General features: G+C 35.3%; 1 long non-coding RNA gene across 1 annotated transcript in view, besides 1 other annotated feature; it reads left to right on the top strand.

Moving 5' to 3' along the window:
- The window catches only part of LINC02208 (long intergenic non-protein coding RNA 2208), a 211,152-nt gene that overhangs the window by 122,798 nt on the left and 74,522 nt on the right, over window positions 1–13,832 (top strand). The window lies entirely within an intron of this gene.
- Window positions 3,720–3,889: an enhancer, noted in NCBI's record as "experimental_80810 CRE fragment used in MPRA reporter constructs". NCBI's record gives its function as "activates a minimal promoter by MPRAs in K562 erythroleukemia cells, with activity observed for the introgressed 5:117771211 variant allele {active_cell/tissue: K562}" and the evidence as "EXISTENCE:reporter gene assay evidence [ECO:0000049][PMID:34662402]".

Raw genomic sequence — 13,832 nt, 5'->3', positions numbered from 1 at the left:
AAGTATGTCTTGCTCTTTCTGGAGCAGACAGAGAGTGACCGATACCCAGAATAAGATGAAAATGTTTAATTTTTATACTTAACCTCAATTTGAAATGCAGATGAAAGTTGCACTTGTATTTGTGGCTTGAAGGATAGCAGGGCCTGATAACAAATCATAAAAAAAGATAGAAGCCCCAATGGCAAAATTTATGCTGAAAATTTCATCACTTGTCACATATCAGTTGTAAAAATGAAGAAGAAACATCTCAAATTTGTGCAATCTCAAACTCCAAACTAGCTAGCTAAAACTAGATAAAATTTTGATGTGTTGTTAGGTCATTCAAAGAGCAGATGCACAAATCTGGGCTCCTCTCTTTTTTAAAGCACAAGGTAGAAAAGTTGAGTACCCTGTACATGTTCTTTTTAAGTTTATATCTATAGATCTACAGATATCTATATCTGTATCTATAGATATATCTACAGATATCTATATCTGTATCTATAGATATATCTACAGATAGCTACATCTGTATCTATAGATATATCTACAGATATCTATATAGATATATCTACAGATATCTATATAGATATATCTACAGATATCTATATAGATATATCTACAGATATCTATATCTATAGATATATCTGTGGATATCTATATCTATAGATATATCTGTGGATATCTATATCTATAGATATATCTGTGGATATCTATATCTATAGATATATCTGTGGATATCTATATCTATAGATATATCTGTGGATATCTATATCTAGATATATATCTATATGTAGATATAGATATCTGTAGATATATCTATAGATATATCTATATAAATCTATATATAGATATATATAGATATATCTATATAAATCTGTATATAGATATATCTATATAAATCTGTATATAGATATATCTATATAAATCTGTATATAGATATATCTATAGAAATCTGTATATAGATATATCTATAGAAATCTGTATATAGATATATCTATAGAAATCTGTATATAGATATATCTATAGAAATCTGTATATAGATATATCTATAGAAATCTGTATATAGATATATCTATAGAAATCTGTATATAGATATATCTATAGAAATCTGTATATAGATATATCTATAGAAATCTGTATATAGATATATCTATAGAAATCTGTATATAGATATATCTATAGAAATCTGTATATAGATATATCTATAGAAATCTGTATATAGATATATCTATAGAAATCTATATAAATCTCTATATAGATATTTTATAGATATATCTATATATCTATATATCTATATCTATAGATATCTATATCTGTATATCTATATATCTCTATATCTGTATATCTGTATATATCTGTATATCTCTAGATCTATCTATATATATATATATATGTCTGTATCTATAGATATAGATTTTTTTTTTGACAGAGTCTCACTCTGTTCCCCAGGCTGGAGTGCAGTGGCACGATCTTGGCTCACTGCAAGGTCTGCCTCCCGAGTTCATGCCATTCTCCTGTCTCAGCCTCCGGAGTAGCTGGGACTACAGGCACCCTCCACCACGTCCGGCTAACTTTTTGTATGTTTAGTAGAGACAGGGTTTCACTGCGTTAGCCAGGATGGTCTCGATCTCCTGACCTCGTGATCCACCTGCCTCGGCCTCCCAAAGTGCTGGGATTACAGGTGTGAGCCACTGCGCCTGGCCAATATATTTAAGGGATAGAAAATGCGCTTTGTTACATGCATATATTGCCTGGTGGTGAAGCCTTGGCTTTAATGTAGGTTTTCCCTAATACTCAGTGTCTCATCTGGCTGTATGAGGACTCAAGCTTTGTACAGAAAGACGGGGGTCAAAAAGAGCTCTGAGGTTATTGAATTAGTGCATTTGGTGGTGTGGAAGTTAGAGGGCAAGTGGCCTCAAGATTTCTCACGGTCACCTAACAGCTTTAATGCTTTGCAAGATGAACTCAATTTAGAGCAGCTAAACTCAAGTCAAATAATAAAAAGTAGGAGACCTTTATACTATGTATTCTATTTCAATACCTTCAGGCTACTTTTTTCTTCCAACCTCCAAATAATACTCTGCACTTTTGCCTGCCATACACAAACACACAAAAATAAAATGAGACAGACCCTGACTTCTATTTCTGTTTGAGATCTTATCAGGTTTGCTAGCTCATTATCTATTACCTTCCTTCCCTAAAATATTAGCTGATATTAGTTAGGGTGACCCATTTCTTATGGTGGCTGCATTATACAAGATTGTACGTCAGGTAAACAAATGATATGCAGTGAGGAAGATATTCTGGGCTAAGTGTGCTTTCAAATACTATCATACAAATAATGACTTTTTCTATTTGATAAAAGGCAACAGTTACACAATCAGCAATTAATAGAGATACAAAAGATGCTAGGTAAATAAAACGACTTTTTACTTCATTAAATGTAGGCTTGTATTAAAGTCCTTTTTTGGGTCATATTTAGCACTTAAACTGAACGATAAAGGAAGAACTGAATAATTAGAAGTAAATTGAAAATATTTTAAATGCTAATTTTTATGGCTATGACATAAATTGAGAAGCAGTGGAGTCTTATAATAAGAACAAGAACACTGAAATTAGATGACCTGAGCTTTTATATTAGTTCTGCCCTATATTTATTGGGTGACCTTGAGCAAAGCACCTAGCCTCTCTGAACATTTTCTTTTTGATTATAAGATAGCTATCAAAAGATCCCAGAGAGATGGGTCAAGTCTGTCTAAACATAGAAGGTGGGATTGAATGTTAGGTATCATTACTAACAAGTAATTTCTAATCTTTTTTAGAAATATTACTTGCATATAGGGCCAGGCATGGTGGCTCACGCCTGTAATCTCAGCACTTTGGGAGGCCTAGGTGGGTGGACTACCTGAGGTCAGGAGTTCAAGACCAGCCTGGCCAACATGGTGAAATCCCATCTCTACTAAAAATACAAAAAATTAGCTGGGCATGGTGGCAGGCACCTGTATTCCGAGCTACTCGAGAGGCTGAGGCAGTAGAATCGCTAGAACCTGGGAGGAGGCGGAGGTTGCGGTGAGCAGAGATCGCGCCATTGCACTCCAGCCTGGGCAACAAGAGTGAAACTCTGTCTTAAAAAAAAAAAAAAAAAAAAGAAAAGAAAAAAGAAATAATACTTGTGTATTAATTAAAAACCTATTAACTATGACATGTAGTAGAAAAAAGAGAACAGGGTGTGGCAAAGCAGACTTCTAAAAGATTGGGATGATTACGCACATAGCTTGAATTTATTGATTTAATGCTAATTATTTTTAGCTTGAGTGAATTTGTCAGACATATAATATTACATGAATATATCTTCGCTAGTTGGATTGGTTTATTTTTCCATGTACTTTTCAAGGCAGTATTAAACTACTGATAGCTATCATATGGGATATTAGAGAATATTAGTTACTTTACTTTAAAGTATTATTTTGGGCAATGCTTTTAGAGAAAAGTATAGTAATAAATGCATTTTTAGATTTGTATTTTTTTAATCCATTATAAGAGATTGAAAGGAAAATAAAAGAAGTATCAGCAACCCTAATGAAGTCAGTTTAATACTATAATGGAGAGAACAGTAGACTGTCATTTCACTCAGGAAGAGTTAGAGTGGTATGAAATCCCCATTTGTTGAAAACAGAAGAACCACTCATTTATATGGCTGGTACCCAGAACATCCCTGACCAACATGCCTAGAACCTAGTGATTGAAATTTATTGCTAGAAAAGTAAATTTTTAATAAAACTTTGTAAATCCCTGGACTTCTTGGCAGCATACGTAGCCTATGAGAAATAAGAAGAAATATAAGTAAACTATTTCTGCAACTACTTATAAAAGGACGTTTTAGGGAAGCCCATGAAAGGCTATAATTCATCATGAGACACCAAGTAGGGGCACCCAGGGAGTTGCTCTGGTGACCTCTGAGGTACATGTTGTTCTTACCTTTCTGCAGAGAGACTCCCAGTTATGTGCAATGACATGTGGCTGGATTCCCGTAGAAGGAGGTGAAGGGAACATGCCTTATGCTCACAGAGTATTAGAAATTCAAGGCCCTTTAACATTATGTGGTTTAAACTTCTTGCTTGTGGTGGATGAAGTAAGTGGAATAAAGTAGCTTGTCTGAATTCCACAAATACTGATTGCCCCAAGGAAACAGGATGCGAGTAATTAATATATATTGAATATCTCTTATTTTCCAGATTATGCATTCTATATCATAAATCTACCTTTGGATATTATATCTATTTTAAAGATGAGAAAATTGAGATTCAATAAGGATAAGAAACTTTTATAAAATTCACTTGCTTGTTATTTGCAGTATTTAACCCCATAATGATCTTACCTTTTCACTGGTCACATTCTCTCCTCAGAACTATAACTAATAATAACAAAAATCTTTCACCTTGCTCTTGGAACAGTGGTTTCTTTTTCTTTTGTGTTATGATTTGCCACTTCCAAAAGTGTTGAACATGTTTAGACAAGGTGTAATAAATAATCCAAGAAGGGAGACAGGAAGAAAATATATTTTATGCAGATGAAGCAAAATCAGTGCCAAGATGAAGAAAGTGGTAAGTGGATAAACGTGGCAAAACAGCGTGAGAGAAGGAAAGTACATTCAGTACTTTTGGAGCTATATAAAGGTCTGAAAGCCTAGAATATGAAGCTGTACCTTTATCAGAAGATGGAAGAAACTAGGCTACATGAAATCCTAAGATGCAAGAAATGGATAAGTTAAACATGACTACAAATGTTAGAATTAATGGTAGTTAATGTCTTTCAGCTGAGGACTCCAGAAGAAAGTAAACTGACATGCCTATTCAGGAACTAAGCTGTTTTCTTGTGGGGTGGGGGGAGGCATACACCTAAGCCATAAGTGACACCTGGTTAGTCTCATTAAACTCACTAATTAGCCGGTTGTGGTGACTCACGCCTGTAATCCCAGCGTTTTGGGAGGCCGAGATGGGCAGATCACGAGGTCAGGAGTTTGAGACCAGCCTGGCCAACATGGTGAAACCCCGTCCCTACTAAAAATACAGAAAAAAAAATTAGCCAGGCGTGGTGGCAGGCACCTGTAATCCCAGCTATTCGGGAGGCTGAGGCAGGAAAATCGCTTGAACCTGGGAGGCGGAGGTTGTAGTGAGCTGAGACTGCACCACTCTACTCCAGCCTGGGCAACAGAGCGAGACTGTCTCAAAAAATAAAAAATAAAAATGAAAAACAAAAACCCACTAATCAATTAAGTCCAGGTGGGACTGAAGGAACAAACAAACAAAAATCTATTTTCAAACCATGTTCCAAATGAAACTTCCATAAAATGGGAAGAAAATAATGTGCTGAAGTAATTTCATACACCATCACATGCTAAATTTTTGCTCTTAGGAAAGAAACTTAGTAGACTTTGTTTAGTTCAAATTTTCCGAGGACTTGACCTATGGAATACTTTTTTGGTGACATGTATATCAATGTATGGTGATACCAATTGGTTTATCAAGGTTTATCATGTGATGTGATATTTACAAAGAAAAAAGGAAAGAAATGTATATAAAATATATATAACTTTATATATAAAATGTATATAACTTTACAACTTTAAAATAGAAGATTAATCATAAGATTTTCAGAAGTTCCATTACTTCCTTACAATCTTAGTAAGTGCAACAAGCACTAAATTGGTCAGTTTGTCTTGGCTTACATTTAGTTTTCAAGGGGCAGCTTGTTTTGATTAAAATATTTGTGTATCATTTACTTATTGCTTAAGCTTTCGAAGTTCGTATTCTATTATTATAGTTGTTTTGCATTTTAGCCCCAAATCCTGAAACATAGATCAATGGATTAAAATGTTTTATAAAAGCATAAAAGCGATAACAACTGTCAGGTAATACATCATTTAAGAATAATCATGTGAATATAGAATATAAATCTGCATAGTTTTAGAAAAATAATAAAGTATAATAGGTTAACATAAGCAGCCAAAATAGAAAACTTTAGGTAAGAAATACAATGGATTATTCAGACGAATATGTGAAAATTAAATTTTATAGGATATGCAGTCTATTTATTTTGAAAACTGTATCAAATAAAGACTAAAAGCTGTATTTGTTACGATGCTATTTTCTGATTACTCGCAAATCAAATCAATTGAAATTTTTCTAGAGTAAGAATAAGAATAAAGTTTTGATTTTTTTTTTTTTTTCCGAGATGGAGTCTCGCACTGTCACCCAGGCTGGAGTGCAGTGGCACGATCTGGGCTCACTGAAAGCTCTGCCTCCAGGGTTCACGCCATTCTCCTGCCTCAGCCTCCTGAGTAGCTGGGACTACAGACACCCACCACCAGGCCCAGCTCACTTTTTTTTTTTTTATGTATTTTTAGTAGAGACAGGGTTTCACTGTGTTAGCCAGGATGGTCTCTATCTCCTGACCTCGTGATCTGCCTGCCTAGGCCTCCCAAAGTGGTGGGATTGCAGGCATAAGCCACCGCACCCGGCAAAATTTTGCTTTTCATAAAAAGTTATTGAATCTTGCTAAACTAAAAACCACAAAAATTACTGTGGAATTTTTTGAGATTTTATTCTTAAAATGTGTTAGTCTTGATATTGCCAAAAGATTATAAACTAGTATAATGAATGCTAAAAAAAAATTAAAACATTATTTGTAAGTTATGATTTTAAAATCAAACAACACTGTTGGATGTTGCCTAATACCAAAGATAGTTGATTTGGAAAAGCAATTATGTTCATGTGCTTACTAAATATTAAGCACTTTCATTTGGACAAAAAAAGTGATGTGCCTAACATGAATGCATTTTTGATAAATATGCAGAGTATACGAGAGGTAAGTACTCAATGACTTTGTTTCAGTTATCACTAAATCTAATGCCACAGAAGAGATTTTTAAAAAGTATTAATCATTATATTTGAGTGGTGCTAAATATAAAGGTGTTTTAAGATTGGTATGGCAGAGTGTGAGCCATTTGTACGGGAAAAAATAGTGTTACTGGCCGGGCACGGTGGCTCATGCCTGTAATCCCAGCACTTTGGGAGGCCGAGGCGGGCGGATCCCGAGGTTAGGAGATGGAGACCATCCTGGCTAACGTGGTGAAACCCCGTCTCTACTAAAAATACAAAAAAAAAAAAAAAAAAAAAATTAGCCGGATGTGGTGGTGGGCACCTGTAGTCTCAGCTACTCGGGAGGCTGAGGCAGGAGAATGTCGTGAGCCCTTGAGGTGGAGGTTGCAGTGAGCTGAGATCGTGCCACTGCATTCCAGCCTGGGTGACACAGCAAGACTCTATCTCAAAAAAAAAAAAAAAAAAAAAATTAGTGTTACTGGCAAAATGAAGTACTGAGTATTATGAATATGATGAAATTACTGTCAGTGTTAATACTTCTTTTCTGGGTGTTTTAAGAAGAAATAGACAAAAACTTATAAGACAGGTTTTTCACTGAGGTGCTCTGGCTGTTAATGGGAAACAGAGTAATTTTCAGAGCATAACATCTTTGCTTCAAAAATTACTGTTTTTGAAGTGAAGATGATACAAAATATTTCTTCTTGGTACTTAGGATACTTAGTATGTTAACTTTAGTGGCTTATTCAAATGATAAATCTTAGTGATATGTTTGAATCTTGAAAAGGCTAAATTTACTGCTTAAAAATAGAAATATCATGACTTTATTTATTTATTTTTGATTAAAGTATAACAGGATTTAAAGTAAGGCTAAATTATGGAGCAAATGGCTCCAACCATGAGTCTGACTCTTACCCAATACTTGATGATTTTATTCACTCATCAGAAAAAAAGCATTGATAATATATAATGGTTATATCTACATTGATATCTAAGTGTTACTACAAAAATACCTTTCAGGGCCGCATTCAATGTAGCAAATGAAAAATCTATTTGCTACAGTCTTCCAAATTAAAATATTTTAAAGTGGTGTGGTTGCCAACGTATATTCTAAAGGAGCATTGAAAATATTATTATTTTTTAAATTTTTTTTGTAGAGACAGGGATCTTGCTCTGTCACCTCGACTGAAGTGCAGTGGCATGAAACTGTATTTTCAAATTGCTGGGCTCAAGTAATCCTCTCGAGTCAGCATCCTAAGTAGCTAGGACTACAGACATCATGTGCAGCTAATTTTAAAATTTTTTGTAGAGAAAAGGTCTCCCTGTTTTCCAGGCTGATCTCAAACTCTTTGCCTAAGCAATCCTCCGACCTTAGCCTCCCAAAGTGCTGGGATTATGGGCATGAGGCATTGTGCCCTGCTCTGAAAATTGTTTTTGATGTGAAATTTCTTCATAATTTCTTATCACTGTTTAACTTTCTAGCCAGAACGATCTAAATTTGTTACCATTATGGTTGATCTTTAAGACAGAAAATAAATCAACACAGATGTGTACCTAACCCATAGCTAATTTTTACTATATACCACTGGCATTATACAGAGACCTCAGTAAAATGTTAGAAGTATTATTATCCCCATCATTGATATAAAATTAATGAAAATACTGATTTTAATGTTTTATTTTTATAACTTAAAATATGGCAGTTTTTACCTGAAATTAGTGATACTGATTTACATTGAATAAGAAGTGTTTTGTAGATAAAATGTTTGAGAAACATTGATATAGAGGAATATTTTGAAAACTGCTAGATGATAAACTCAAGGGTTTAGAGGTATGGAACAGAAAAACCATCAACAAGAGAAATTCTATGACTTCATAAATAAATAATAAATTTATTTAATATTTATTTATTTATTTTAAGATGGAGTTTCACTATGTTGCCCAGACTGGTCTTGAACTCTTGGGCTCAAAAGATCCTCTGACCTTGGCCTCCAGGTGACTTGGGTGCTGTTAAAAGCATTCAGTTTTTATATATTCACAAAGATGTTTGGAATTGGAACTTATGTTTAAAAGGGAGCTTAAATTTAGCTGAGACTACATGCTGTACTCACCATCCTTGGCTCCAGAAATCCCATGGATTCTATTGCCAGAATTAAAACAAGAGAGGGGAGAGTCAGATGCTCAGGTTATTATATAAAAACAGCTCTGTTCCTGAGAACAGATGTGACAGAAAAATATTGGAAGAAACACTAGTAGGATTTGGGAAATAAGGAAGAACGGAGGGAACAACACGCTTAGATGCAGATTCTCAATTCATTTGATTAATAATGATGATGTTTTCTGGAGATAGGTAACAAGTTGAGATGGAACTGAGTTAAGTGTCTGATATGGCTTCATGTCCCCACCCAAATGTCACTTTAAATTGTAATAATCCCCATGTGTCATGGGAGGGATCCAGTGGGAGGTAATTGAATCATGGGGGCAGGTTTTTCTTGTGCTGTTCTCATGGTAGTGAATAAGTCTCATGAGATCTGATGGTTTTATAAAGGGGAGTTCCCCTGCACATTCCCTCTTGCCTGCTGCCATGTAAGACAGGCCTTTGCTCTTCCTTTGCCTTCTGTCATGATTGTGAAGCCTCCCCAGCCATGTGGAACTGTGAATCCATTAAACCTCTTTCCTTTATAAATTACCCAGTCTTGACTATGTCTTTATTAGCAGCATGAGAATGGAAAAATACAGAGTGTGAGGTAAGATTAGAGCCTAAGTCAGTTCAAATTATAACTGGTGCTCTGAAACCATGGTGACTGCCACTGGCTGAATAATACAATGGACACAAAGGCTATTTTTTGAGGAAATATCATGAGCTGGATTTTGCTTGTGTAAAATCAAAGCCCTGTGAATTATCTTCCTGGGACATTAATTATGCAGTTGGATATGAGGATTTGGTGCTCACAGGAGCTGTGTGGGCTGGGTGTATCAAATTAGGTGGCAATTGCGTTACATGGAAACCCTGGAATCAATGAGTTTACTTAAGAAAAAAGTGGAGAGTGCAAAGAGAAGAGAGTCTAGAAAAACATACTTAGGAATCTAAATATTTAAAACCCAGAGGAGAAGCAATTAAAGACCAAGAAAGAACCACTAGTAAGGTAAAAGGAGAACCAGCTGAGTATGAAGTCACAGAATTCAAAGGAGAAGAATGTATGAGGAAGATAGTCAACTATGTGGAAATCAGCTGAGAAGTCAAGAAAAAGAGGAAAAATTCCACATAAGCTTTAATGCGTAGATGTATTGTTCAGGTTCGTAAGTCACTGGAGTCCTTATAACAAAGCACTGAATATGGGTCCTAAAAAATGAAGTATATGTAATTAATGGAAATTTAGACTCTGGATTCTAGCAAAAGTTGTCCATGGAATCTGGACAGAGGTAAGTTTAAATGAATTTGGATTGTTACATGCACCTTCTAAGGTCCTCCATTTAAGAGTGACTGGGGAAGTGAAGATCAGCAGAATCTTCGTATTTGTAGAATATCCAACATTTATATTCTGGGTCTGTAAGTACAAAGTTCAAATATGGTTTATTAACCCTTGGTTCCTATTCCTCTTATTTCCTTTTACACACCAGTATCTTCCTAAAGGTCACTTTTCTCTCACAGCGAAAGGGGTGTGTGTGTGTGTGTGTGTGTGTGTGTTTGGGCGGACAGAACTCAGGGGATCCTGGGATAATCTTAGTTTTGGAATATGGAATTAGGAAAAAAAACTCTCTCGAGGTTATTCTGTGAGGCAGTGTAATGATTTAACTGAATTTAAAAGCAGATTTTGAATCATTGTCACAAATGAATGTTTATGATTTGATAAGGAAAGTATTTAATTTTATCCTAACATTATAAACAATCCTTTGAAGCTCTGATTTCATGAAATTATTTATTTTTAGAAAAAAATTGCAGAAGTCTATTTCTATGAAAATTTTATATGGAAAAGAGCTTAGTCAAAAAAAACCCCTTCACTTTTGACCATTTTACTAGATATGTAAATAAGCACTTATTCTATATTATATTTTGCAAAATAAAATTAATACTACAAAAGGAAGAAATGGTTGGGGAAAAAACATTGTAATTTTAGAAAACTTTTTTCTTAAAAAGTCGTGCGGCCGGGCGCAATGGCTCACACCTGTAATCCCACCACTTTGGGAGGCCAAGGCAGGCAGATCACATGAGGCCAGGAGTTTGAGACCAGCCTGGCCAACATGGTGAAACCCTGTCTCTACTAAAAATACAAAAATTAACCAGGTATGGTGGCATGTGCCTGTAGCCCCAGCTACTCGGGAGGCTGAGACAGAGAATTGCTTGAACCCAAGAGGCGGAGGTTGCAGTGAGCCAAGATTGCGCCACTGCACTGCAGCCTGGGCGACAGAGCGAGACTCCGTCTGAAGCGAATAAACAAAAAAACAAAGTTATTGATCCTTCACTAGCTCTTTTTGAAGTATAAAGTTTACACCATAGAAGTATCATCTAGGTATTAGGAGTACAAACTAGAGAATTGTTTATTTTGTCTTGATTCATAATTACAATACATAATTACAAATAATACATAGTAAGTAGCAAAATTTATAGAGTTTGCCAGGGATTTTTATTATCATTTAAAAAAAATAACTTTATTGCATATATTTAAGGTATTGCATATATTTAAGGTAAGCATGTTTAAGGTATTAAATATCTTTAAGGTTGCATATGTTTAAGGTAAAATATGTTTATTGCATATATTTAAGGTACTGTATATGTTTAAGTTAAGCATGATATAATGAGATACATATATCTAGTAAAATGATAACTATAGTGAAACAAATGAACATGTCCACTATCTCTATACCAAAACTGATAAGAGTTTTTATCAAAAAAATGATATTGACTTTGTCAAATGCTTTTTCTGCATCATTTGAGATGATCATGTGGATTTTGGCTTTCAGTCTGTGAAATTTATTTATCAAATTGATTTTGTGTATGTTAAGCCAGGCTTGCATGGCAGAGATAAATCCCAGTTGATTATGATGTGCAATATTTTTGATGTGTTGTTGAATTTGATTTGCTAATATTTTGTTGATGATTTTTGCATCAATGTTCATCAGAGACATTGGACCATAGTCTTTTGTGTTAGGTGATTCTGGCCTCATGAAATGTGTTAGGAAGCATTCCCTCCAGCTCTATTTTTAGAAGACTTTAAGACATAATAGTATTAATTCTTCTTTAAGAATTTGATAGAATTCAGCTTCAAGCGGTCTGGTCCTGGGTTTTTCTTTTCTGGGAGGTTTTAAATTATTCAGGCTCTTTGTTGTTAGTCTGTTCAGGCTTTCTATTTTTCTTTCTTTCTTTTTTTTTTTTTGAGACGGAGTCTCGCTCTGTCGCCCAGGCTGGAGTGCAGTCGTGCGATCTCTGCTCACTGCAAGCTCCGCCTTCCGGGTTCACGCCATTCTCCTGCCTCAGCCTCCTGAGTAGCTGGGACTACAGGCGCCCGCCACCACGCCTGGCTAAGTGTTTGTATTTTTAGTAGAGACGGGGTTTCACTGTGTTAGCCAAGATGTTCTCGATCTCCTGACCTCGGGATCCACCCACCTCGGCCTCCCAAAGTGCTGGGATTACAGGCGTGAGCTGCTGTGCCCGGCCCAGGCTTTCTATTTTTCTGATTCAACCTCGTTAGGTTATATTTTTCTCTAAACTTAACATTCCCTTTAAATTACCAAATTTGTTGCTATATTGTTTTTCTTTTTTTCCATACAGAAAGTAACATTTTTTAATTTTTTACTTTAAGTTGCAGGGTAAATGTGCAAGATGTGCAGGTTTCTTACACGTGTAAACGTGTGGTATGGTGACTTGCTGCACCTATCAACCCATCATGTAGATATTAAACCCAGCATGGATTAGCTAGTCTTTCTGATGCTCTCCCTCCTCTTCCCCGCTAAAAGTCCTCAGTGTGTTTTTCCTCTTCCTGTGTCTATGTGTTCACATTATTCAGCTCCCATTTATAAGTAAGAACATGCAGCATTTGGTTCTCTGTTCCTGCGTTAGTTTGCTGATGTGAACAGCATCCAGGTCCATCCATGTCCCTGCAAAGGACATGATTTCATTCCTTTTTATGGCTGCATAGTATTCCATGGTATATGCATACCACATTTTCTTTATCCAGTCTATCATTCATGGACATTTGGGGCGATTCTATGTCTATGCTATTGAGAATAGTGCTGCTGTGAACATACCCATGCATGTATCCTTATAATAGAATGATTTATATTCTTTGGGTATATATCCATTAATGGAATTGCTGAGTCAAATGGTATTTCTGGTTCTAAGTCTTGGAGAAATTGCTACGTTGTCTTCCACAATGGTTGAACTGATTTACATTTCCATCAATAGGAGTGTAAAAGCATTTCTATTCCTCTGCAACCTCACAAGCATCTGTTGTTTCTTGACTTTTTAATAATCACCATTCTGACTGGTGTGAGATAGTATCTCATTGAGGTTTTGATCTGCGTTTCTCTAATAATCAGTGATGTTAAGGTTTTTTTGGTATGTCTGTTGGCTGCATGAGTCTTATTTTGAGAAGTGCCTGTTTATGTCCTTTGTCCACTTTTTAATTTTTTTTCTTGTAAATTTAAGTTTTTTAGATTCTGGATATTACACCTTTGTCAGATGGATAGATTACAAAATTTTTCTCCCATTCTGTTTGTTCTGATGATAGTTGTTCACGCTGATGACTTTATTTTGCAGTGCAGAAGCTCTTTAGTTTAATTAGATCCCATTTGTCAATGTTTGCTTTTGTTGCAATTGCTGTTGACATTATCAACAAAGATTTCAGCATGAAATCTTTGCCCATGCCTATGTTCTGAATGGTATTGCCTAGATTTTCTTCTAGGGTTTTATAGTTTTGGGTTTGACATTTAAGTCTTTAATCCATCTTGAGTTATTTTTTATATACAGTATAA

The sequence above is a fragment of the Homo sapiens genome, chromosome 5 (genome assembly GCF_000001405.40).
Source record: "Homo sapiens chromosome 5, GRCh38.p14 Primary Assembly".
NCBI classification, from domain to species: domain Eukaryota; kingdom Metazoa; phylum Chordata; class Mammalia; order Primates; family Hominidae; genus Homo; species Homo sapiens.
The sequence above is the reverse complement of the archived record's forward strand: the minus strand, read 5'-3'. Positions and strand labels throughout refer to the sequence as shown.